We start from the raw sequence: 21,623 nt of genomic DNA on the forward strand, positions 1-21,623 counted from the left end.
CAGGACCCTGGCCCCCTCAGGACCTGCCAGTATGGGGGAGACGCGACCACCAGCTCTCCCCAGCCACAGGAGTCGGGGACTCCCACTCTGCCACACCCACCTGCTCCCCTTCCTGGAGTCTCACATCTGTGTGGCTTGCTGCAGGGAGATCACCAGGCCGACTGGGAGGACCTAGGACTCCGCAGGGTACCTTGGGCTGGCAGGTGATACAGGCCTGGCTTGACCCAGCCCTGGGGGGCCTCTCTGGCCACACCTCCTGACATTCCAGCCCTTCCCAGACCTGGCCTTCAGCTCCAAACCTCCCGGCCTTTGCCCCCTGTCTAGGAACACCCCTGGTCCGGCTGTCCCTTGCTGTCTGGGAACTTCCCCAGCCTGCGCCTTCCACCCCTGTCCACCCCGTCCCGCAGACCCCACCCTTCCCTCTCTCTGTCCCTAGCCTGGAGCTCCCCGTGAGCCTCACCAGGACTGAGTCCTCTCTGGGGTCCCACCTCCACCCATGTCCGGGCTGGGCAGAGATGAGGCAATAACACTATTTCATGTCTTTTTTTAAATTTTGTAACCTGTATTTCCTCAGGTAACAAGAGTTGCCTATGAGAAGTAATTGGGCTCCCATTTTATAGATGGGAGAACAGAGGCCCAAAGAGGAACATCACTTGGCCCAGAGGATTTGGGGTGTTTGTTCAATGATGTGACCTCCACCCCTTATCCCATCTCTAGGGGCCCCAGTACCGGGAGCCCCCAGGGGAAGGGGCACAGGTTCAGAGAGTGGCCTGGGAGCACCTTCCTGAGACCCCTCTGCCCCTCCCAACGCCCAGTCAACCCCAAATCATCGCACGCCCACGGCAGGAAGGCGGATGCCCAGTCAGGCGGCACCCACCCCCCGCCCCGTCCCTGGTGCGGATGTCCCCTCGGGGCTCAGGGTGGGGGTGCGGGTCACCGACGCCAGGCCTGGGGTCAAGGCGAGGGCCCCAGGGCGCCACCGCCCCCTCGCTGGGCGGGGTGGGAAGGAGGAAGGAGGATGTTGTCTGAAGCACCTGCTGAATCACAGGGGCTGTGTCTGTAGCCTGCAGGGTGGGGGGCGCGTCCCCTGCACTCCAGGACCCGCCCCTCGGGATGCCGACCCCCACCCCAGACTGGGGATCCCAGGGGTCAAGGCTGTGCCCTGGGGGCGTGGGGTGGGGTATGGAGCTCCAGGCTCAGAGCCCTGGCCTGGTAGGGTCAGCCCAACCAGGGGTGCAGCGGGCGGAGGGGCGGCAGGCGGAGGCCAAGTGTGCGTAGGGAAGCACGGAGAGGTAAACTGAGGCACAAAGAGGGCAGGGACCGCTGGGATCTCGCGGGGCGGGGTCGGCCCTGGATCGCTCCCTTCCCCCAACCATTGAGGAAAAAGCTGAATGGGAGGGGGCGGCCCCCGGAAACCCGCCGGGATGGAAACGCGGTTTCCAGGGCAACGCGCCGCGAAAGGAGCCTGACGTCACCCCGGGTAGGGCGCCCTGCCCGCCCCCGTCCGCGCGTCGCGCGGCCCAGGCCCCGCCCACCAGCGGGGAAGCCTCATTGGTGATCGCACCGCTCGCTCATCGGCGTGCCCCAGTAGCAGCGCGACGAAGCCTCCAGAAGGCGGGACTTCAGCCCGGCAGCGCCGAGTGCGCAGGCGCAAGCGCGGAGGCGCTGCAGCCCCGCCTCTCTCCCCGCGCGTCTGCAAAGTTGGGGGCGGGAGGCGCAGCCGAGGGTCTGACGGCTGCGGCGGGGCCTGGACGGAAGAGGGGGCGAGCCCCGGGGCGCCGCACGTGGACCCCCGGCACGGGCACGCTCACGTGCACCCGTCCTTTCACGCCAACGCGTTTCCTGCTGCCCCCACCCCTGCACCACTGCACGTCCCAGACCCCGGCCCAGCCTCCCCGCGGTCCCTAGGCTGGGGGAGCTCAGACAGGAGGCTAGGAGGAGGGGGACTTTGGGGCTGAGGCTTTGCCAAAGGAGCAGGAGTTTGCCAAGTGTTGTAGGAAGCGGGAAGGGTGCGCCAGGTAGGGGGCACGGCGTGTGCCAAGGCCCGGAAACGTGAAACCGAGTGCTTTTCGGGGGCAACCGGGAAGTCAGTTGGTGGAGAAAAATCAAAGATGGGAGGAAAGGCGAGGCTGACAAGGACCCTAAACGGTGATTCCCCAAGTCGGCCACTGGAGGGATGACTTGGGGGACCAGAGAGGAAGAGCAGGTGAGGGGGAGCGGCGGCCAGGACATCTGGGAGGTGGCTAGACCCGTGGCCTGGACTTTGGGGGGCGGTCGAGTTGGATCGATGATCGATGGGGACCCTGGCGGCCTCACCCTGGGGGAGGTAGAGACGAAAAAGGAACTACGGTGTGCCCGGAAGGTGGTGGCTTTAGGTCCACAGGGAGGTGGTTGGCAAGGCGGGGGTAACAGGGGGAAGGAGAAAATCTGAAATGCCGGTGTGAGCTCCGGGCCAAGAGAGTTGAGGACTCAGGAGGCAGGAATCCCCCGTGGCCGCCCGCTGCTTGGCTGTGGGCTCCAACTTGGTGTGTGCTCAGAGAAGGCAGTGGTTGGAGTGAACAGGGCCTGTGCCAGGTGGGGAGACTAGCCAAGGTGTTTGTGCAGCCTGGCCTCTGGAGCGGCCTGGGAAGAGCTGGAGTTCGCAGGGTGGGAGCTGCCCTGTGGCTGGGAGCCCGTGCTGGCGTCCCTGCCAGGCGGTGATCTCACAGGTGAGCGGTGCTTGGGGAGACGCGGAGCTGTGGGCGGGCAGGAGAAGGTCAGTGGAGGTCATGGCTTTTGGCTTGAGGCCGGAGTCCTCTGGGGGTGGCCGAATGCGCCCTTGGAGCTGCCTTGGGAGGTGGCTAGGGTGGACAGCAGTGGAAGCCAGGCCCTTGGCTTAGAGCCACTGGGTTGGAGGGATTGAGCCAGTGCCCGGGCACAGCCGCCCCCACAGGGCCTTGCCCCACCCGCCCTCCTCTCCCAGCACCATGGGAATGGGAGTTACCGGGCTGGAGGCTGGGGACGCCACCACCCCGTGGCCAAGGGCGTTGGGGCCCAACCCAGGAGCCTGGTGCAGCCCCACCCACGGGCCGCCCAGCCCTGGAAGGGCAGAGAACTGGCTGCCTCTGGGGTCACTTGGGACAGGTGAGCAGCCCAGCCCAGCCCAGCGGGTGGGGGAGGGGAGGCTGTCACCTGGGCCCTGCCTCCACCCTCTTTCTGGTTCTCACTCCCTCCATTTCTCTTTCTTTTGCCTTTCTCTATTTCTGTCCCGATCTCTGGCGCTCTCCCCAACCCAGTACCACCATCTCCGCCCCTCCGTCCCTCCCCTGCTTCCGCCCCCTCTCTGGGGGCCCCCTTCACCCCGGGGCACATTCCAGCTTCCTCCCCCGCCTTGCAGTCCCTCCCTGGAGCCAGCTGCCTCCTCGGTTGCCAGAGCAGAGAGAGTGGGCTTGGGCCGAGGTCGGAGGTCGAGGAGCGGGCGGGAGCCTGGGAGGGCACCCCCAACCCCTCTGGAATGTGGGTGGAGCGGGGCAAGGGAGACAGCTGGTTTCCACGGAGGGCACATGCCCCATACCCAGGACGCTACCCACACTCAGCCCTGGGGGAGAGCAAGCAAAACCAATGGGTGCCATCCCACGAGGGGCCTGCACAGCCATCCCACACCCCCGACCAGCACGCCCGGGACAGCCCTCCACAGGCCACGCATTTATGGGTGCGGCTGGTGTGCCAGGCTCCCAGATACACAACCCCCCCCCCCAGACACACCCCATATACCTGTCCCCAACCTCAATCCACTGTGTGACCCTAAAACAAACAGAACCTCCTTGCTCAGCCTGGGCCAAGGCCTCCCCAAACAAAACTCCAGCCTGCAGAGTCCCACCACACACCGCAGCTGTCACCAGATACAAAGAGGGCCCTGACCAGATACAGAGAGGGCAGCAGCCTTCCCCCACAACCAACACACGCCTGGGCGGGGGCAGGAACACCCCCAGGGCCTCCAGCCACAGACACTCACCCACTCACCCCTCTGTGCACCAGTGATCCTCCGCTGCCCAGCCAAGCTTGACTCCAGCCTGCTGGAGTCTGGGTGGGGGATGGAGAGGGGTTCCCAGGCGAGCCCCAACCTATGCCTTCCAAAAGTCTTTCTGTGCATGTTGGAAATACAAATGAAACAGGAGAGTTAGCATACGGGACAATTATTATTTTTGTTTGTTTTTGTTTTGAGACGGAGTCTCGCTCTGTCGCCCTGGCTGGAGTGCATTGGCGCGATCTCGGCTCACCGCAACCTCTGCCTCCCGGGTTCAAGTGATTCTCCTGCCTCAGCCTCTGGAGTAGCTGGGATTACAGGCGCCCGCCACCACGCCCGGCTAATTTTTGTATTTTTTTAGTAGAGACGGGCTTTCCCCATGTTGGCCAGGCAGGTCTCGAACTCCTGATCTCAAGTGATCTGCCTGTCTCGGCCTCCTAAAGTGCTGGGATTACAGGCGTGAGCTACAGCATCCAGCCCAATTTTATTTATTTTTAGTAGAGAAGGGATTTCACCATGTTGGTCAGGCTGGTCTCAAACTCCTGCCCTCAAATGATCCACCCGCATTGGCCTCCCAAATTGCTGGGATTACAGGTGTGAGCCACCACACCTGGCCCCAGTTATTAGTATTTTCGAGACGGGGTCTCACTCTCTTTCCAGGCTGGAACGCAGTGGCTCCATCACAGCTCACTGCAGCCTCGCTGGAACTCCTGGGCTCAAGCGATCCTCCTGCCTCAGCCTCCTGAGTAGCTGGGACTACAGGTGAGCACCACCATGCCCAGCTAATTTTGCTTTTTTTTTTTTTTTGTAGAGACAGGGTCTAGCTATGTTGCCCCGGCTGGTATCAAACTCCTGGACTCAAACGAAAGTGCTGGGATTCCAGGCATGAGCCAGCGCTCCCGGCCTGCATACGGGATGATTCCATGTGGACTGCCACATCAAGGAAGCAAACAACAAGGAAAGCCTGGCGCTGCGTGGAGCTGTCTTTTGCTGCTAACTGCCCTTGACCGACTTCCTACCAGGTCTTCCCTGTGCGCCTCTAACCCCAGGAGGTGCTGCTGGCATGCCCACCTCTCAGATGAAGCAGTGCGGTCCAGAGAGCGTCTTGGGCACCGCCTGCCTCACAGCTGGGCCCCTGACCCTCCAGGGACTGTGGCTGAGCAGCCATGGCTGCCTGGACGGGTGTCCCCTGGCCCGTCTGTCCGTCTGGATGTGGGAACCCTCCAGGCACGCTGGGGCGGGCAGGTGCCAGGTGCCTCTCCAGCAAGATGCAACATAGGTGTCTTCACTTGCACTCCGTAGGTCCTGAGCCCCTGCAGCTGCCTGGGAGAGTGGGGAAATACTCTCCACTTGTCCCACTCCACTGTTGCCATGGAGATACCTCCCACCCTAGGCAGGGCCACCCTGAGCCTGGTTGGCTTTGCAGGAAATCCCCACTCTTTGACCTCTCTGTTAGGCACAGGACGTGTAGTCCCATGAGAGGGAACTGGGCCCAGGTGGAGATCCATCCGCCTACCCCAGAGCGCGCATCTGTTGCTAAGCAACATCTGAGGCTGCATGGAGGTGGGGGCTCCGGAGCCCCCAGACCTTTTCCCAGTTTCAGAAACTAGGTGGCTGCATCCCCAGCGTCCACGCAGGCGAGCCTAAGCCTCGGTCAGCTTTAGGGTGTCCGTGGGCCATGCAGGGTCTTGGGCCTTTCACAGACACCTGATCTGCACGTCACAGACACGCATGGGTGCACGTCACTACACGTCCGCCACATGTGCTTGGCTGGTCTGCGCCCCAGCAGAAGGGGTCACCTATGTCTCTGCAGTATCCTGTGTACTGAAAGAGCAAACAGGTGTGTGACCCCAGGGCAGGTCGGGGTCCGTCCTGTCCCCAGCCTGTCTACTGCGTGTGCCTGTGGCAGGCAGGGTCTCCGGATGCCGAGTGCATGGTGTATGACTTTGTGTCCAGTGGGTACGAAGCAGGGGTGTGGGTGTGCACCTGTGTGTGGCCTGTGGCGGGGTGTGTGTGCCGGGGATGTCCCTCTGTGGCCCAGGCCTGGCCTTTGGGCTGCTGGGATGGCCTGGCCGGGGCAGGAGTAGACAGGGCCTCCCAGCCTCCACATTCCTGAGCTGTGACTCAGGCCTGTGGGGAGGGGGTGAGTCACAGGGAAGGGAAGCCGACCCACCCTGCGAACGCATCCGAGGAACAGGAGGGAAACTGAGGCTGGGGAGCAGCTCAGTCCGGCTTTCCTGTGTAGCAGCCCCTGAATCTCAGGCCCGGGGGTGGGGCGGGGTGGCGGGGGGGGGCGCGCGGGGCCTCCCAGGGGACCTGAGATCCCAGCCCTGGACTCAGCTGGGAGCTGGGGGAAGAGGCAGGTTTAACCCTTCCTCTTCTGGGCTTCTGGAACTCTGGGCTGCCCTGGGAGGCGCGGCTCCCGCTGACACAGCACGCGTGCCCACCCCAGGGACATGAGTCACAGCACCAGGCATGGACACATATGCTCTGTGGGTCCCGGCACACCCGAGTCACGCACACCCAGCCCTGTCCCCGGCTGCCCCCACATCCACATCCGGATAAGCGCACACTTTGGAGTCCAAGCGCCCACCTCCTTGGGTTGCACACACAGCGCCACGCAGACGGGTTCCTGTGTCTTTGCACACACGCGGGTGCCGGGGGCTCTGTGCACACACCTCCAAGACTGCGTGCACGCCCCTATATGCCCTGCGCACCGACGCAGGCCGGCCTGGGGTCCCTGCACTCACCACGCCGTGTGCACTCGCACATAGCTACACATTCGTGTCCACACAAGCTTGTGTCTCTGTACTCTGCCCACGGGCACACATGTGCGCCACACCTGGCAACCCGCACGCCCGGTCTCTGCATCCCCCACCCTGGCTCTGGGCCCCGCGTAGTGGGGCCAGCTGGGTCGGCTGCAGCCTCTGCCAGGACGGTCCTATTTCTGCGCCCCCGCGGGGCGGCCGCCAGGTGCACGGTCCCGGCCCCCGCCTGGCTAGGAGGAGGCGGTAATTATGCGGCCCCGGGGTCCCCCCCACGCGCCTTTCATCCTCGGCCACGCCCGTCGCAGGCCTAGACGCTCTCTACCGCCTCCCGCCCGGTCATTAGTCGGGGTCGGGGGAGGACCTGGCGTCCGGCGGGCGGGGCCCCGTGGGGAGGGCGGAGTGGGCGGTGCGGGAGCGAGGGAGCTCCGCCCTCGTCTCCATGGCGACGCCCCGCAGGGGAGGAGGCCCGGGAGGAGTATCAGGGTGCAGGAGGTGCGCGCCCCTTCCGAGACGGCAGGCTGGAAAGGGGGCGGATTTGTGAATGGGCCCACGGGGCCCAAGACAGACGCGCGGGGAGCAGGTTCGGGGACTCTGACTGATCCCCGCGCCTCGCCGGGCAGGGGCGAGCCCCGCGCGTCGGGCCCGGAATAGCAGTCTCGCCCCCGCCCGGCGCGGCTATTTTGAGCTCCTCCGTTGGGGCCGAGGCGCGGGGGCGGCGGGAGGCTGGGGGTCGACACGCAGGCTGCGTCCTCGCCCCGCGAGATTGGACCCCTCGAGGACTGTGCGCTGTGGCCGCGCAGGGCTGGGCGGCGGGGCCCCCTCTCCCACGCGAGGCGTCTGCGTGGAGCGGCGGCACCGGGAGCCCGGCCGCTCGAGCCAAACGCCGCGGACGGAGCGAGGCCGCAGCGCCCCCTGGTGTCCGCAACGGGCAGCGCGTCCCGGTCGGGTCCCGCATGGTCAGTGGCCAGCAGGGGTGGATGAAGGGGTCCCAGCCGCCTGAGACCCCCGGTGGGGACACAGGATCGCGGTGAGATACCTGGGAGTCACGGGTGCTCGCAGACGCAGCTGACCCCAGAGGCACAGGTACCGACACAGGTCCACACCTGGAAGCCGGTGCACAGTGCTCGGCACAGATGCAAAGCGGCAGGTGTGCGCAGGTGCGTGTCAACGCCACCCTGGGAACCCAGGATGGCTGCGGACACTCACGGAGCCCGCACCCAGGAACCCGCTCGTAGTAAGCGCTTAATAACTAGGCACTGGCTGAATGAATGAATGAATGAATGAACACGGCGCTTCGCAAAACCAGGAAAAGGCAGAGGCTCACAGAACCAGGGAACGATGGGCTGGGGGGAGCGGCAAGAATTACGCAATTATGCAGGGGCCGCTGTGACTACCAGGCACCCCCTCCAACTCCCCCCCTACAAGGGCTGCTCTGGGTCAGAGAACGTCCACCGCGCTGACTGCTGGGGCTGGGGGCTGGGGGCGCAGATCAGAAAGAATGGGCCTGAATTGCTCCCAGGCTGGGCATGTGGCGCCCGCGTCTGGGGCTCCAGTGGGTGGGTGGCCCCTCCCGCATGGACGGCGGGCGCAGGGGAGCTCGGTGCTGATGTCTCTCTCCTTTAATAACCACCCTGCGTGAGTGGCTGACGCAGCAGCCGGCTGCCGCTGACGGGGAGTGGGGCGGCTGTAGTGGGGGGGCCCGAGGTGCAGAGGGGGTGGTGATGAATCACACAGCTGCTGCCTGGGGGAGGGGGTCTTGAGCCCATGAGGGGTCCCAGAGACCTTGTCACTGGAGACAGCGCCCCTGGCTACCCCCACCTCGATCCACTTGAGGGTGGAAGTGAGTCTGAGGTCAGGAGTGGGGCCGGGATTTCCCTGGGATGAGCAGCAAAGCGGGGGTCTCTGTACGCCAACTTCCCCCAGCTTGTCAGCAGAGGGTCATCCCTCCGAAGACTTTCTGGGGCAGAGAGGCAGGGGTCCGCGCTGGCTTCTTCCACCAGGGCTGGGGGAGGCGGCGGCATGAGATGACTCCTGGGCGAGGAGCAAGTGGTGGCCATAGAGGGCCCCCCAGAGGCTTTGGGGCCGCCGAAGAGTAGTGAGTGAGGGTCCTTGTAAAGCTGGTTCTCCAGATGGCGGCGGCTTTAAGACTCCCCTCCGCCAACCAGGCTCAGTAGGGGAGGCCTGTGGAAGGAGAGAAAAGGCCTGGGTGGAGGAGCAGAGTGGGCCTGGCCCCGCGTGGGGAGCGAGTGCGCCGTTGCTGTGCAGCACGGTGGGAGGGGAGGCCGAGGGCCGGGCGGAGTGCTGGGGTGCAGTGGGGACTCGGGGTGTCCGCCTGCACCCGACAGCAGGGACGCACAACACTATCCGGCCAGGCGAGTGTGGGGGTGTGGGCCACGCACCCAGCCGTGATAATCGCGGTTCCAGTGGGAGTTAGGCTTGGGTGCGGGTTGGAGTTTGTAGGCAAACTGGGTTGCGTAAAGTTGGGGTGCACCAAAGTGTGGCGATGTAGGAAGAATTGGGATTGCGAATATTGGGGTTCGCATGAATGGGGTTGTCTCTGTTGGGGTTTTGGTGGGCATGGGGTTGATGGCAGGAATGGAGTGCTGGGGTGCTGGGAAAACTGGGACGTCGGTTGTATTGGCAAGAATATCACGACAGGTGTCGGGGTTCAGATGAAGTTGGGATGTCTGACAGCCGGGTCTTGGTTGGGTAGGGGATCTGGGCTAGGTTGTTATGTCGGGACTGCTGGAGCACAGGCAAAGTCGGGGTCCCAGTGACACCCAGAAGTCCCCATGAGGCCTGAGGCCTGGGAATCGGGGCTAGAGGCCCATTTGTTCCCCGCCGCAGGCCAGGGAGCAGGCACGCGTAACTGGGTCAGCCCCGCCCCGCCCCGCCGCGCGCTGGTCACGCCCCCTCGAGCGCGGGTGGAGGACTGCGGACTGCAAACGTCTCGGCCAATAGTCGAGCCCGACACCAGTCCGCGGGAGGGGGCGGAACCGAGATAGACTCGGCCCCCAGCTCATGAATATAAGACGCAGGCGCGCCCTCTGATTGGCCCAGGATGTGTAGGGGGCGGGGCCCGGCGGAAGCGTATATAAGGCCGGGCTCGGGGACGCCCCCCCCTCACTCGCGCGTTAGGAGGCTCGGGTCGTTGTGGTGCGCTGTCTTCCCGCTTGCGTCAGGGACCTGCCCGACTCAGTGGTGAGGGCCCTGGCTGCACCGGCTCCGAGGAGCTCGGGGCGGCGGGCGGCCTGCGGCGGCCAGGCGAGGCGGGGCCGCAGCGGCACGCCCCTGGGAGGGGGCGGGCCCGGGGTGGAGTCCGCCCCGCCGGCGGCGAGGGACAGCGGGAGATTGGGCCGAGTAGCGGCCAGAGGGCCTCTCCCCGCCGGTCCGGGCCGCCGGCGACCCGGTTGCCGCCGCAAAATGGCGGCCGCGAGCTCGAGGCTGTGCCCAGCGAAATGGCGGGAGCGCCGAGTTCCCGGATGGAGTGGCGCAGGGTGCGCGCGGGGCGCATGCGCACGCGGCGGGGGCGGGGCCACGTGGCGCCCCCGGTCTCCAGGGCCGCTTTCCCGGCCTTGGGGCTGGAGGTATCCACACACCAACGCTTTTGCTTACCGAGCCTTAGTTTCCTCCTTTTCCCATTGCGATTGCATGAGGGAAAGGACGGCCTCGTAAATCTTGGGTAGGCGTGGCCCGTTCTAGTGTGGTTCCTCGTCTGCCACGTCGTGCTTTGCGCCCAAAGTTTGGTCCAAGTTGGCACAGCTCCCAGTGCCAGACTTCCAAGTCTAGTTCTCAGAGCCACTGGGTGGCGGCCATTCCCAGCCAGTGAATGCTTTGTCTGTGTCAGCACTGACCGCCCCCTTAAATAGCCAGTTCTCCTAAATGCCACTTCCCCTGCCTGGAAATCCTGCCTTATCACTTCCGGGGCCATCCCTTCCCGATTCCCGGCCTAGGTCCTGGCTATGGAAGTCAGTACCTGCCCTGAGGTGCCCCCCAGGACGGGGCGGCCTCCCTGACAGCCAGCCCCCCCCCCAGTCTCAGGAGGCATTTTACAGTGAGCAGAAGCACGTTCTGGTCCAGCAACAAGTAGATGTCAGTTGGTTAGGGTAGGAGTTGGCACCCGTTCGGAAATAGGAGAACCTGAGAGTGCAGTCCTGCCCAGGGCACAACTGGAAGGCTGTGGGGGAAGGGAGACACCCATTGTGGAAATGGGTGCGGCCTGCCTTCAGTCTTGGGGGTGGATGGAGTAAATTATTTGAATTAAGAAGTCCTAGGTGGCTGGGTGCGGTGGCTCACACCTGTAATCCCAAAACTTTGGGTGGCCAAGGTGGGAGGATTGCTTGAGCCCAGGAGTTTCAGACCAGCCTGGGCAACAGAGCAAGACCCCATCTCTACTAAAACAAATTTAAAAAAATTATCCAGGCGTGGTGGTGTACACCTACAGTCCCAGTTTCTTGGGAGGCTGAGGTAGGAGGATTGCTTGAGCCCAGGAGGTGGAGGCTGCAGTGACCCCTGCACTCCAGTCTGGGTGACAGTTAGACACACTGCCCCCGACCCCAAAAAAATAAGTCCTAGGTATGAGTTTGAGATAATGAAAAATAAAAATCTGATTTTCTAATATTTCCCCTAAAAAACACATGTCATTTACATAAAATAGGAAGCGGGGAGAGGTGGTGAGAGATGACCCCTGTTGAGGATTTCATTGGTGTCTGCCACAGGCCGCCATGGCATCAGATGAAGGCAAACTTTTTGTTGGAGGGCTGAGTTTTGACACCAATGAGCAGTCGCTGGAGCAGGTCTTCTCAAAGTACGGACAGATCTCTGAAGGTGAGGCTGCTGCTGGGCCCGCGGCCCTGGGCGGGGGGGCTTGTGCTCCTCCTACCTGGAAGTACAGCTGGGTGCTGACTGCAGACCTCTCTCCCCTGCACAGTGGTGGTTGTGAAAGACAGGGAGACCCAGAGATCTCGGGGATTTGGGTTTGTCACCTTTGAGAACATTGACGACGCTAAGGATGCCATGATGGCCATGAATGGGAAGGTGAGGATCAGGGTGCTGAGCAGGAGTCCCGTCTCGAGGATGGGGCACCCACCTGCTAACCCGTCCCGCCCTCTGTCTCCAGTCTGTAGATGGACGGCAGATCCGAGTAGACCAGGCAGGCAAGTCGTCAGACAACCGATCCCGTGGGTACCGTGGTGGCTCTGCCGGGGGCCGGGGCTTCTTCCGTGGGGGCCGAGGACGGGGCCGTGGGTTCTCTAGAGGTGAGTGCCATGAGTGGGTCCCTTGGGGATGCTGTGAGGTACTGCTGGTGGGAGCTGGTACTCACTTTTTCCTGTATGTGCAGGAGGAGGGGACCGAGGCTATGGGGGGAACCGGTTCGAGTCCAGGAGTGGGGGCTACGGAGGCTCCAGAGACTACTATAGCAGGTGAGGGGGAGGCCGGCCCAAGCACAGGGGTGGTTGCGGGATGGCCAGCTTCCGTCCCGGGTCCCAGGTCCCTGGGGGAGCTGAGATGAGACTGGCTGGGCAAGGAGCAGAGGCAGGTGGGGACCCAGGCCAAGAGGAGAGGAGACTGCTCAGGACATTCGCAGAAGCGGGAGGGCCTGGGGGACAGGCTGGTGGAGATTTTGAACAATTTCCAAGATGCTGCCCTGCTGGGGTCCTTGTTGTGTCCCCAGAAGGGACGGCTGGCATGGGGGCTGGCGGCTCAGCCTGTTGTGGCAGAGCAGAAGTAGACGGGTACCTTCCGGTACTCAACGTTTGTCTGTCTTGCAGCCGGAGTCAGAGTGGTGGCTACAGTGACCGGAGCTCGGGCGGGTCCTACAGAGACAGTTATGACAGTTACGGTAAGTCACACTCCGAGGGCGCCACGCTGCTGTGGCCTGCGGTGGGAGCTCGGTTCACCTTGGTGCCCTCTCCAAGCACTTTAGGCTGGACACTCAGACCTTGTCACTGTGCTTGCCCAGAAGAGGCGCATCTGTCCTCTCAGAGCCATTTCTATCGCAGGACGCAAAAGCCAAATGAGACTGACCAAAAAGGCAAGGGAGAGCGAGGGCCCGCTGGGCAGTCAGCTAGGTGCATGTGTGGCCGCAGGCCAGCCTCCCTCGGCTGTGGGGGGTGGTTGCTCCCCGGCCGCAGGCCGCGCCCTGGTCTGGCCTCTGGGGTGAAGCTGCCTCTTGTTGCTTCGGTGCCTTTACACTGTGCCTGCTTCTTGTCCTCAGCTACACACAACGAGTAAAAACCCTTCCTGCTCAAGATCGTCCTTCCAATGGCTGTGTGTTTAAAGATTGTGGGAGCTTCGCTGAACGTTAATGTGTAGTAAATGCACCTCCTTGTATTCCCACTTTCGTAGTCATTTCGGTTCTGATCTTGTCAAACCCAGCCTGACCGCTTCTGACGCCGGGATGGCCTCGTTACTAGACTTTTCTTTTTAAGGAAGTGCTGTTTTTTTTTGAGGGTTTTCAAAACATTTTGAAAAGCATTTACTTTTTTGACCACGAGCCATGAGTTTTCAAAAAAATCGGGGGTTGTGTGGGTTTTTGGTTTTTGTTTTAGTTTTTGGTTGCGTTGCCTTTTTTTTTTTAGTGGGGTTGGCCCCATGAAGTGGGTGCCCCACTCACTTCTCTGAGATCGAACGGACTGTGAATCCGCTCTTTGTCGGAAGCTGAGCAAGCTGTGGCTTTTTTCCAACTCCGTGTGACGTTTCTGAGTGTAGTGTGGTAGGACCCCGGCGGGTGTGGCAGCAACTGCCCTGGAGCCCCAGCCCCTGCGTCCATCTGTGCTGTGCGCCCCACAGTAGACGTGCAGACGTCCCTGAGAGGTTCTTGAAGATGTTTATTTATATTGTCCTTTTTTACTGGAAGACGTACGCATACTCCATCGATGTTGTATTTGCAGTGGCTGAGGAATTCTTGTACGCAGTTTTCTTTGGCTTTACGAAGCCGATTAAAAGACCGTGTGAAATGAACCTTGCTCTGACAATTCCCTTGCATTGCACCACACACTCCTTGCTGCGGGCTCCTGCAGCCAGACCTGAGCAGAGAGAGAAGGTGGAGAAGCAGCGGGTCTGCAAGCCTTCCCTGGGGCCTGCAGAGCTAGAAAGGGAGGCCCAGCAGACTGGCGCTGGTCAGGGTAGGGGAGCCAGGCGGGGGACGGGAGCGGGCAGCTCAGGCCTCAGGGCAGCCCTGGGAGGCTTCTGGCAGTGGTGGCCAGAGGGCTGGACTGTGCGGGCAGCTTAGCAGGGACAGTGGACGTGCACCTGACGCTGACCTGGACTGCCTCAGTCTAGAAGCAGGCCAGAGAGCAGAGGCACGTGGCATCCCAGGGCGACCTCAGACGGCCAGCCGGTTAGCTAGTTCTGCTGTTGCTTCACGAGTTCTGAGCATTCTCTGCTAGCCTATGGAAGCTGCAGCCCTCGGAGGACAGAAGTGTTGTGCGCCCAACAGAACCCTCTGAGACGCAAGCTGCTCCCTTGGCTAGCTCATATGTGGAAATAGCCCTGTAATTCGAGGTAACTCCTTCCGCTCGTGTCCACATCCCTCTTGTTGAGAGCTCACTGAAAGTCATGTGCCCGGGGAATGTTCCTGTGACTGTTTTTTGTTTTTCCTTTTTTTTTTAACTTTGTTTTTGTTTTTTTCAATTAAGCTGGAACTAAAGTCAGGCCCAGCCATTACGCTCCCCACGTGCAGCCAGGTGCAGCCTGGGCCCAGTCATGCCTGGCTCATAGATGAAATCCCTTAAGCAGGATTGAAGACCAGTGAACGCCCCCGCCTTTTGGATTTTTTGCTCAATTGACCGTCTTTTCCAGACCTCTTTAAGTCACACTCTTAACTTAGCTTTCTCTGATGTCTGTTGCCGCCATTAGTTTTTTTCTAGAGCCCACACTGGCCCACATAGCTCCATCCCATACGGGTAGCTGGCTCCAGCTGCGCCAAGGTGCAGACCCGCCCTGGGCATGCTGGCCTGTGACGGAGCCTGAGGTCACAGCCCCCTGACTAGCCTGAGACCTTCCTAGGGGCTGTGGCTGTTTCCGGGGAGGCCGGGAGGGGCAGCTGTGAGCCCTGTGGAGGACGTTGGGAGTAACGCTGCTTTGCTTTGGCAGGTTGAAGGGGCCCGGCCAGGACTCGGGGAAGGGTGGCCTGAGAGCAGCGATGACCTCTGGGGTCACTGTCCCAGGAGGGACTTCACCTGGAACAAGAGCTGGAGGCAGCCGCTTGCCCAGGAGGCTTGTCCCCTGTAAGTGCTTTCGGGAAGAGTGGCATGTGGCGCTGAGCCCTGTCCCGGGCGGCACCTGGGCGTTTCAGTGAGTCCTGCTCTCCCGCACCTATGGCCCCATGGCGGGCGCCTTTCGGTGTGTGTTGGGTGCAGGGCAGCGCCTCCCGGGAGCGCCGGGTCCCCCGCCTGGAGCCCGCGCCTGTTCTCCCTCCCTTCCTCCTCCTTCCAGGAGGCGCTTCGCCAGTGAGGTGCGGGCTCAGGGCCTCGAGTCTCTCCTGGAGCACGGGCTGCGGTGCGCCGGCAGCTTACGGGGCGGCCAGTCCTTGCCCACAACGATGTGGAGCCCTGTGAAAGTCGGATTCGAATAAAGGGCCACGTGTGCACCCAGAAAGCCGAGTCTGTGGTTCAGGGGGGTCTGTCGGCGGAGCGGGGCCACTGGAAGAAAAGCCTGCGGACCTCGGTTCAGCGCACGAGTAGGACCCGACAGGGAAGACTGCAAGGGTCATTGTCCGAGCAGTGACCGCGGGGGGCTCGCCACTGAGGGGGTTCGCAGCGCGGAGACTCCAGTCTCGCGGGATCTGAGGCGCACTCGGCTTCGAGGGAGCGGCGGCCGCGCAGCCGCTGTCAGGCCCCGTCTTGGGCCGAGTCCCGGGTTCCCTGTAGCAGGCTTGGGAGCGGGGCGCCACCTTCCTGGGCCCTGGACGTGGCCGACGCGTTCTCAGTGTCCGTGAGGCCGGGGCAGGAGTGGCGGGGGTCGCCCCGAAGTGGGTGGGAATGAGCGGCCCGAGGTCCTGAAGTCGGGGTCCGCCCCGTCTCCCCGCTGCCAGCCCGATTTCCTCGGAAGCCGCGACCCCCCACGCTGGGCTGGCAGTTCTGGGCTCTGCCGGCTGCGCCTTGCCGGGACTCCCACGGGCGGGCTCCGGGCCTCCGTCCTGATCCCTTGGAGCGGTTCGACGAAGCAAGTTCCGCGGCGGGCGCGCGGGGCACTGTGGGTAGCGCCGGGGCTCACCAGGCGGAGGCGGGGCCCGGCGTCAAGCTCCGCCTCCGCGCCCCATTGGCTGGCATCACCTCCGCGCGCCTGACTGACAGCGCGCATAGGGGCGGGGCGCCGCCACCGCTTCCGCCGGGCCATGGGGCCGCGCGTGCTGCAGCCGCCGCTGCTGCTGCTCCTGCTGGCGCTGCTGCTGGCGGCGCTGCCGTGCGGTGCCGAAGAGGCCTCGCCGCTGCGCCCCGCGCAGGTCACGTTGTCGCCGCCGCCGGCCGTGACGAACGGGAGCCAGCCGGGCGCGCCACACAACAGCACGCACACGCGTCCGCCGGGGGCGTCGGGCTCGGCGCTGACGCGCTCCTTCTACGTGATCCTGGGCTTCTGCGGCCTGACCGCGCTCTACTTCCTGATCCGGGCGTTTAGGTGCGTCAGGCGCACGTGGGCGCCGTCTCTCAGCCTTGGCCAATTAGCGCGCGCCTAGTGCGTCACGTGCCGGGCCGCGGGGTCCTCCCCTCCCTCCCTCCCTCCCTCCCTCTCTCCCTGTTGGAGTGGGCGTGGGCGGTGCTGTGCGGGGTCGTCACGTGGTGTGGGCGGTGCAGGGGCCACGGGACTCACCCGCTCTCCAGCCTGCGCCTGGGGTTGGAGGTGCCCAGCGCGCCGCCTCTTAACTCGGGGGTGACGCTGCCCGTTTCCCAGGTGGGGCCACTGAAGCCGGAGCATGCCGGGCAGGGGTCAGGCCCTGGCGGGGCGAGGGGGCCTCCTTGGCTCCTTGTCGCCGGATGCCCGTCCTCGTTCTCATCTTCCCGCCTGCCGCCAGGCCTTTCCGTGGGGTCCCGATATTTTCCTTTCTGCTTCTACCCACTGAAGCTGGTTCGTCGCCAGGGTCGGCCACGTGCCCGCCTTGGGTGCTCCCACAGCCCGGGAGGTGCAGCTGCGTCCCCAGACCCTCGCGGGGGTCTCCAGCTGTAGGCAGCCCCTGGGCAGGAGGGGCTTCTGCGTGTTCAGGCCACCCCGGCTTCCCTGGCCTGTGGCTCCAGTCTCCTCTGGGCTCCTGACTACCCAGTGTGGCTGCTTCTCCCGGGTGGGAGAGACACAGCGAGGACCTTATCCCTCCCCATCACCACCCTGGCAAAGTCAAGCCGCTTTTTATTTTTTATAAGTTTTTATTGTAGCGATGGGGTCTCGCCATGTTACCCGCGCTGGTCTGAACTCCTGGGCTCAAGTGATCCTTTTTCGTTGGCCTCCCAAAGTGCTGGCATTATAGATGTGAGCACCTGCACTCCGCCATGCTGCTTTTTATGGGCCCTGTGCAGAGCCTCCCCTGTGCTCCACACCTCTTCCTGTGGAAGCACCTGCTGCGCGCTCTCCCCTGCCTGTATGCCGCGCCCTCCCTGCCTCCCGGGCTGCTGGGGCCACCAGGGGCTTGGCCCTGAGACAGGCTTCCATTCTGTTGTCTTTGGCAAAGTCTCACCCCTGTGTGAGCCTCAGTCTTTTCATCAGTGCAATGGGAGTGACATCAGCGTGCCTCTCCTGGGGTCCTGGCGCAGGGGAGATGGGAGGGCCTGGTAGGGCACATGTCTTCTTACTGTCATCGCCATGGGAGTGAATGGTAATCACTTGGCGATTAGGACATGAAAGAAGCAGGCACAGCAAAACCAGGGAGGTCTGCAGCAGGGCTCGGGGCTCCAGTAGAGGACGGCAATGAGAGTCCTGAGGGAAGGAGGAGGCAGGGTTGGCGGGGAGGGGCCACTGACTATGCCTGGACCTACTTCCAGGTTGAAGAAGCCTCAGCGGAGGCGATACGGCCTCCTCGCCAACACTGAGGACCCCACGGAGATGGCCTCGCTGGACAGCGACGAGGAGACGGTGTTTGAGTCCCGGAATCTGAGATGGTGTGCACCCTTCCCCAGCTCTGGGGCCTCGGTGGGCAGGCTGGGCTGGAGACTCAGCAGGACCCTGGGGACTTGGCCAAGCCATGGAGTGGTCCCTGCAATCACAGCTGACAGCGGTAGTCAGGCCATGGCCCCACTGGGCAGGGCTCATCCCTTCTCCCAGCCTCCATTTACAACTTTTTTTTTTTAAACTTAAATGTTTGTCATTTATTTATTTTTGAGGTGGAGTGGCGCGATCCCAACTCACTGCAACCTCCGCCTCCGGGATTGAGGCGATTTTCCTGCCACAGCCTCCCGAGTAGCTGGGATTACAGGCACCCGCCACCACGCCTCGCTAATTTTTTGTATTTAGTAGATAGAGATGGGGTTTCACCATGTTGGCCAGGCTGGGTTCCAGCTCCTTACCTCAGGTGATCCATCTGCCTGGGCTTCCCAAAGAGCTGGGATTACAGGTGTGAGCCACCGCACCTGACCTAAGTTTTGTTTTGTTTTGAGATGGAGTTTCGCTCTTGTTGCCCAGGCTGGAGTGCAATGGCACGATCTCTGCTCACTGCAACCTCCACCTCCCAGGTTCAAGCATTTCTCCCATCGCAGCCTCCTGAGTAGCTGGGATTAAAGGTGCTCACCACTACACCCGGCTAATTTTTGTAGTTTTAGTAGAGACAGGGTTTCACCATGTTGGCCAGGCTGGCCTCGAACTCCTGACCTCAGGTGATCTGCCCGCTTCGGCCTCCCAAAGTGCTGGGATTACAGGTGTGAGCCACCGTGGTCAGCCTTCTTGCTTTTTTAAGGCAGGAAAGCGGCTGCAGGGCTTAGGGTAGTGGTTGCTCCATCTGGGCCCCTCCCTGAGGGATGAGGTCTAAGTCAGGTGGAGAACTGACTGCAGGATGCTTCTGAGCGGGCGGGGTCAGGGAGGGCCTCTCCCTGGTGTAATGGGGCTGGCTTCTGGAAGAGTGTCTCAGGCCGAGGGAACAGCAGGGAGCGGCCGGGCTGCGCAGATGCCGGGCGGGACTGGGGTAGGCCTGGGCATCGAGGCAGCTGTCAGGGGTTAGCAGGGTTCTGGGCAGGGAATGATGGGTATGTTGCGCTGCAGTGTGGCTGCTGGGGGGACCTTGGCCTGTTGGGGGGTGGCAGGCATGGAGGCTGGGAGACCAGGAGACTGGGCGGCCTCTGGGGACAGCTCTGACTTTTTGAGCCCCCAGGGAGGGAGGCACTGGGATCCCTCCGCATGCTCTGACTCCATTCTGGGAACCCCTCCCAGGTTTCTTCTACCTCCTGGCTGGGGGCCCCTTCCCCCGGAGTGGGCAGTTGCACAGGGCCCAGGAGGCCGGGGAGGGAGGCCAGTGGGGGGAGGCTGGGCCCTGGTAGACCGAGGGGCCTGGACAGGCTGCCTGCCCCTGCCTGACCTGGGTGAGCCTCTGCCCGGCAGGGCGGGCCCTTCACTCCTTCCCTCTCACCCTTGACCCCCTGCTTTCAGATGCTGAGCCAGGGAGGCGGCCCTTCCAGCAGCCATGAGGGAAGGACAGGAGATGGGGCCCACCCCAGTGCCCAGCAACCCCCTGCTCCACCGCTCATTCCCCTGCTGGCCCCGGGGCTGGTCTCACCCAGTGCCAACCCGAGAGCTCCTTTTGGAACCTGCACAGCCCGCCGACCTGTTGCCACCTGCACCCACCGCTGGACCATGCAGCCTCGCCTCCTGGATGCTGTCCCAGCCTGGCCGAGGGTCCCAGGTGAAGACTGGAGGGACCCCAACAGCCACCGCCCAGGACGCTGAGGCTCCCTTGCCTGACTGTGACTTGTGCCTCTCTCCTGCCCCCGTGGGGACATGGCAGCCCAGAGCCAAGGCTGGGTGGGCAGGTGACCCAAGGAACCTTTCTGGGAACACCTTCTCGCCGGGCTGGGAACAATAAATGCAGCCATGTCTCTGCAGCTGGTGCTGACCCCATGCCACCTCTAGACCCGTGCGTACTGGTGCAGCCAGTGTGGGGGTGGGTGGCGGAGCAGGGCTCAAGCCAGCCTCGGTTCCCCATCTGCGACCATGCTTGGGTTCTCCAGCCTTGCTCCCAAGTAAGGAACCCATCTTCAGCTGCCTGGGATGAGGCCCTGCCTGTCAGCATCTCTCTTCCTAGAGAGAACTCCTATTCATCCGTCAAAGCCCCTGCCCCAGGGCCCCCTCTATGCCATCCCTTCAGCCTGGGTCTCATGGGCCCTGCCCTGGAGGATCCCCACATCACCCTCATGAATACCTCTGGCAATGATTCCAGGGAGCCCCAGAGCTCTGCTGCAGGAGGCTGGAGTTCCGTGCGGCCTGGGTCCCCATGCCGGACACTCCTCCCCCATCTGCCTCCTGTGGGACTTGGAGCCTGAGACCCCATCCCAGGCAAGGTGCTTAATCAGCTTCCCTGGGGCCTTGTTCTTCCTGCAGGGGCCTGTGTCTGGGCGGAGTCCAGCCCTGGCCTGTCATCCTGTCCCCCATGAGGTTAGCCTTGGAGAGACCATGGTGCGTGGGTACCCATGGCCTGAGGTCCCCCACAGGCAACCTGTCTGGAGCTGCCACTGCCCTGTCACGAGGAGGAGCTGCCACCAGGTGGCAGCCTTGAGCCGCCCAGTCCTCTGGCTGTCTCCTTGGTCCTAACCCTTCATGTGGGAAAGCAAGTCCAGCACAGCCCATTTGTCACTCCACTTCCTGAACCCACCGTGTCCTCACATCCACTGGGGGATGGGCAGTCCCCCAGGTTTGCATCTCACATACCTGCCGACCCTCCCTGTCTGCCGCCAGGGTTGGGAGGGGCTGTCTCCACTGGGGGCCAGGCTATCGCCCCTTCAGACCAGGGTCCCCTGTCCTGGTACTATCTGTTCCCTTGGGCATGTCCGTCTGACCAGGCCTGCCAAGACTCTGCTTACGTTTCTCCTTCCCCTTCCAGTGCCCTGGGTCCTTCTCTGCCCCAGCCTCAGCTGCCGCCTCCAGGAAGTCCTCCCTGATTGCCCACCCCAGCCTGTTCTTTAGGGGAATCCTGCAGGGAAGGTTGGGGAAGCAACCCTTAAAGTGAGGGCAGAGCCCGAGGGAGGCCCCTGAGACTGCAGGTGGGGAGGGCAGCTTGGCTCAGCCTGGCTGTGTGTGGGACTGGGGACAAGCAAGTCACACCTATGACTCGGGCTCTGCTGTTCCCCATCTGTCTGGCCGTTGCGTCTGTCTCCAAACTCCCGTTTGCATCTCTCCATCTGCCTCCTTCACTTTGTCTCTGTCCGTCTCTGTCTCCATGTCTGACCCTTTGGGACACACTTTTAACAGGCACGGAGACACCAGCCCCGGCCCCCAACCCTGTGATCTGTGCCCCCCGTCCCACAGCTCTGAGCGCTTTCACCAGCTTCAAAAGGCACATTAATTACTCTAATGAGGTCAGGAGAGACCCACGCTCTGCCATCCGGAGTCGGAACATGCCGCAGCCCCCAGCCCAGCCGCCGCCGCCCCCCGCTCGAGCAGGGAGAGGGGCTCTGCTGCCTCCGTCCCCTCTGCCTGTCGGGGCCCGTGCTGCACCCCACGTTGCTGCAGAGTAATTGGCAGCCCCCCAAGGTTAATGCACTGTTAGCCAGGGGTTCTCCTGGGCTCAGAGCCGGAGAGGGGCCTGTCAGCGAGAAATGAAAGGCCCCAGGTCCCGGCTGGTGCTCGGCTTGTGAGCGTGTGTGTGCCCGTGGGAGTGCGTGTGTGTGCGGGTGCCTGGGAGCTTGCGGGGGCGGGCAGTGGCTTCCTCCACCTCT

General features: G+C 63.0%; 2 protein-coding genes, 2 long non-coding RNA genes and 1 other non-coding gene across 14 annotated transcripts, besides 20 other annotated features; 3 read left to right on the plus strand and 2 right to left on the minus strand.

Annotated features, from left to right (window-relative positions):
- Window positions 126-285: an enhancer, noted in NCBI's record as "active region_13602". NCBI's record gives its function as "activates an Ori minimal core promoter by ATAC-STARR-seq in GM12878 lymphoblastoid cells {active_cell/tissue: GM12878}" and the evidence as "EXISTENCE:reporter gene assay evidence [ECO:0000049][PMID:35858748]".
- Window positions 726-1,645: a silencer, noted in NCBI's record as "silent region_9689". NCBI's record gives its function as "represses an Ori minimal core promoter by ATAC-STARR-seq in GM12878 lymphoblastoid cells {active_cell/tissue: GM12878}" and the evidence as "EXISTENCE:reporter gene assay evidence [ECO:0000049][PMID:35858748]".
- Window positions 1,656-1,895: a silencer, noted in NCBI's record as "silent region_9690". NCBI's record gives its function as "represses an Ori minimal core promoter by ATAC-STARR-seq in GM12878 lymphoblastoid cells {active_cell/tissue: GM12878}" and the evidence as "EXISTENCE:reporter gene assay evidence [ECO:0000049][PMID:35858748]".
- LOC107985303 (IQ motif and SEC7 domain-containing protein 2-like) lies at window positions 1,678-4,985 on the plus strand. Its single transcript, XR_007067083.1, has 3 exons — window positions 1,678-2,206; window positions 2,605-2,708; window positions 4,818-4,985. It is a non-coding gene; the product is annotated as an IQ motif and SEC7 domain-containing protein 2-like (transcript).
- Window positions 1,936-2,165: an enhancer, noted in NCBI's record as "active region_13603". NCBI's record gives its function as "activates an Ori minimal core promoter by ATAC-STARR-seq in GM12878 lymphoblastoid cells {active_cell/tissue: GM12878}" and the evidence as "EXISTENCE:reporter gene assay evidence [ECO:0000049][PMID:35858748]".
- Window positions 2,206-2,385: an enhancer, noted in NCBI's record as "active region_13604". NCBI's record gives its function as "activates an Ori minimal core promoter by ATAC-STARR-seq in GM12878 lymphoblastoid cells {active_cell/tissue: GM12878}" and the evidence as "EXISTENCE:reporter gene assay evidence [ECO:0000049][PMID:35858748]".
- On the minus strand, window positions 2,359-7,106 carry LOC105372236 (uncharacterized). Its single transcript, XR_936233.3, has 3 exons — window positions 5,078-7,106; window positions 3,995-4,124; window positions 2,359-2,735 (listed from the first exon to the last, which is right to left on the minus strand). It is a non-coding gene; the product is annotated as an uncharacterized LOC105372236 (long non-coding RNA).
- Window positions 2,476-2,785: an enhancer, noted in NCBI's record as "active region_13605". NCBI's record gives its function as "activates an Ori minimal core promoter by ATAC-STARR-seq in GM12878 lymphoblastoid cells {active_cell/tissue: GM12878}" and the evidence as "EXISTENCE:reporter gene assay evidence [ECO:0000049][PMID:35858748]".
- Window positions 3,976-4,065: an enhancer, noted in NCBI's record as "active region_13606". NCBI's record gives its function as "activates an Ori minimal core promoter by ATAC-STARR-seq in GM12878 lymphoblastoid cells {active_cell/tissue: GM12878}" and the evidence as "EXISTENCE:reporter gene assay evidence [ECO:0000049][PMID:35858748]".
- Window positions 4,106-4,155: an enhancer, noted in NCBI's record as "active region_13607". NCBI's record gives its function as "activates an Ori minimal core promoter by ATAC-STARR-seq in GM12878 lymphoblastoid cells {active_cell/tissue: GM12878}" and the evidence as "EXISTENCE:reporter gene assay evidence [ECO:0000049][PMID:35858748]".
- Window positions 6,884-7,773: a silencer, noted in NCBI's record as "silent region_9691". NCBI's record gives its function as "represses an Ori minimal core promoter by ATAC-STARR-seq in GM12878 lymphoblastoid cells {active_cell/tissue: GM12878}" and the evidence as "EXISTENCE:reporter gene assay evidence [ECO:0000049][PMID:35858748]".
- Window positions 7,914-7,963: a silencer, noted in NCBI's record as "silent region_9692". NCBI's record gives its function as "represses an Ori minimal core promoter by ATAC-STARR-seq in GM12878 lymphoblastoid cells {active_cell/tissue: GM12878}" and the evidence as "EXISTENCE:reporter gene assay evidence [ECO:0000049][PMID:35858748]".
- On the minus strand, window positions 8,036-10,825 carry CIRBP-AS1 (CIRBP antisense RNA 1). The gene is made up of 2 exons (NR_027271.1): window positions 10,390-10,825; window positions 8,036-8,955 (listed from the first exon to the last, which is right to left on the minus strand). It is a non-coding gene; the product is annotated as a CIRBP antisense RNA 1 (long non-coding RNA).
- Window positions 9,574-9,783: a silencer, noted in NCBI's record as "silent region_9693". NCBI's record gives its function as "represses an Ori minimal core promoter by ATAC-STARR-seq in GM12878 lymphoblastoid cells {active_cell/tissue: GM12878}" and the evidence as "EXISTENCE:reporter gene assay evidence [ECO:0000049][PMID:35858748]".
- On the plus strand, window positions 9,897-15,445 carry CIRBP (cold inducible RNA binding protein). Of its 10 annotated transcripts, none has more exons than XR_001753600.3 (8): window positions 9,897-9,975; window positions 11,432-11,601; window positions 11,705-11,811; window positions 11,894-12,032; window positions 12,116-12,197; window positions 12,546-12,616; window positions 14,872-15,005; window positions 15,214-15,445. XR_001753600.3 is itself a non-coding variant. In NM_001437524.1 (7 exons), exons 2-7 carry the CDS (start codon window positions 11,499-11,501, stop codon window positions 14,874-14,876), a joined length of 507 nt encoding a protein of 168 aa, NP_001424453.1. In that variant the 5' UTR covers window positions 9,897-9,975; window positions 11,432-11,498; the 3' UTR covers window positions 14,877-15,375. The 10 variants fall into 10 exon arrangements, 6 of the variants coding, with proteins under 6 accessions (NP_001424453.1, NP_001287744.1, XP_011525970.1 ...); XR_001753599.2 differs by having other exon boundaries at window positions 11,493-11,601; NR_023312.3 differs by having other exon boundaries at window positions 12,546-15,005.
- Window positions 9,994-10,153: a silencer, noted in NCBI's record as "silent region_9694". NCBI's record gives its function as "represses an Ori minimal core promoter by ATAC-STARR-seq in GM12878 lymphoblastoid cells {active_cell/tissue: GM12878}" and the evidence as "EXISTENCE:reporter gene assay evidence [ECO:0000049][PMID:35858748]".
- Window positions 10,204-10,513: a silencer, noted in NCBI's record as "silent region_9695". NCBI's record gives its function as "represses an Ori minimal core promoter by ATAC-STARR-seq in GM12878 lymphoblastoid cells {active_cell/tissue: GM12878}" and the evidence as "EXISTENCE:reporter gene assay evidence [ECO:0000049][PMID:35858748]".
- Window positions 14,052-14,235: a silencer, noted in NCBI's record as "fragment chr19:1273486-1273669 (GRCh37/hg19 assembly coordinates)". NCBI's record gives its function as "represses an EF-1alpha promoter that drives an FKBP-Casp9 reporter gene in an ReSE screen in HepG2 liver carcinoma cells {active_cell/tissue: HepG2}" and the evidence as "EXISTENCE:reporter gene assay evidence [ECO:0000049][PMID:32094911]".
- Window positions 15,602-15,826: a silencer, noted in NCBI's record as "fragment chr19:1275036-1275260 (GRCh37/hg19 assembly coordinates)". NCBI's record gives its function as "represses an EF-1alpha promoter that drives an FKBP-Casp9 reporter gene in an ReSE screen in HepG2 liver carcinoma cells {active_cell/tissue: HepG2}" and the evidence as "EXISTENCE:reporter gene assay evidence [ECO:0000049][PMID:32094911]".
- Window positions 15,725-15,784: a silencer, noted in NCBI's record as "silent region_9696". NCBI's record gives its function as "represses an Ori minimal core promoter by ATAC-STARR-seq in GM12878 lymphoblastoid cells {active_cell/tissue: GM12878}" and the evidence as "EXISTENCE:reporter gene assay evidence [ECO:0000049][PMID:35858748]".
- Window positions 15,795-16,164: a silencer, noted in NCBI's record as "silent region_9697". NCBI's record gives its function as "represses an Ori minimal core promoter by ATAC-STARR-seq in GM12878 lymphoblastoid cells {active_cell/tissue: GM12878}" and the evidence as "EXISTENCE:reporter gene assay evidence [ECO:0000049][PMID:35858748]".
- On the plus strand, window positions 16,095-19,793 carry FAM174C (family with sequence similarity 174 member C). The gene is made up of 3 exons (NM_017914.4): window positions 16,095-16,395; window positions 17,748-17,864; window positions 19,342-19,793. Coding segments are annotated over exons 1-3 (399 nt in total). The 5' UTR covers window positions 16,095-16,114; the 3' UTR covers window positions 19,343-19,793.
- Window positions 16,495-16,564: a silencer, noted in NCBI's record as "silent region_9698". NCBI's record gives its function as "represses an Ori minimal core promoter by ATAC-STARR-seq in GM12878 lymphoblastoid cells {active_cell/tissue: GM12878}" and the evidence as "EXISTENCE:reporter gene assay evidence [ECO:0000049][PMID:35858748]".
- Window positions 17,125-17,204: an enhancer, noted in NCBI's record as "active region_13608". NCBI's record gives its function as "activates an Ori minimal core promoter by ATAC-STARR-seq in GM12878 lymphoblastoid cells {active_cell/tissue: GM12878}" and the evidence as "EXISTENCE:reporter gene assay evidence [ECO:0000049][PMID:35858748]".
- Window positions 20,192-20,301: an enhancer, noted in NCBI's record as "active region_13609". NCBI's record gives its function as "activates an Ori minimal core promoter by ATAC-STARR-seq in GM12878 lymphoblastoid cells {active_cell/tissue: GM12878}" and the evidence as "EXISTENCE:reporter gene assay evidence [ECO:0000049][PMID:35858748]".

The sequence above is a fragment of the Homo sapiens genome, chromosome 19 (assembly GCF_000001405.40).
Source record: "Homo sapiens chromosome 19, GRCh38.p14 Primary Assembly".
Taxonomy (NCBI): domain Eukaryota; kingdom Metazoa; phylum Chordata; class Mammalia; order Primates; family Hominidae; genus Homo; species Homo sapiens.

What these genes read in the sequence shown, in the direction of transcription:
- CIRBP (NM_001300829.2), top strand. Translation starts at nt 11,499, where the DNA reads ATGGCATCAGATGAAGGCAAACTTTTTGTTGGAGGGCTGAGTTTTGAC. An exon ending in TGATGGCCATGAATGGGAAG is followed by an intron (nt 11,812 to 11,893) that starts GTGAGGATCAGG and finishes CTCTGTCTCCAG; the next exon opens with TCTGTAGATGGACGGCAGAT. An exon ending in GGGCCGTGGGTTCTCTAGAG is followed by an intron (nt 12,033 to 12,115) that starts GTGAGTGCCATG and finishes CTGTATGTGCAG; the next exon opens with GAGGAGGGGACCGAGGCTAT.
- FAM174C (NM_017914.4), top strand. Translation starts at nt 16,115, where the DNA reads ATGGGGCCGCGCGTGCTGCAGCCGCCGCTGCTGCTGCTCCTGCTGGCG. An exon ending in TTCCTGATCCGGGCGTTTAG is followed by an intron (nt 16,396 to 17,747) that starts GTGCGTCAGGCG and finishes ACCTACTTCCAG; the next exon opens with GTTGAAGAAGCCTCAGCGGA.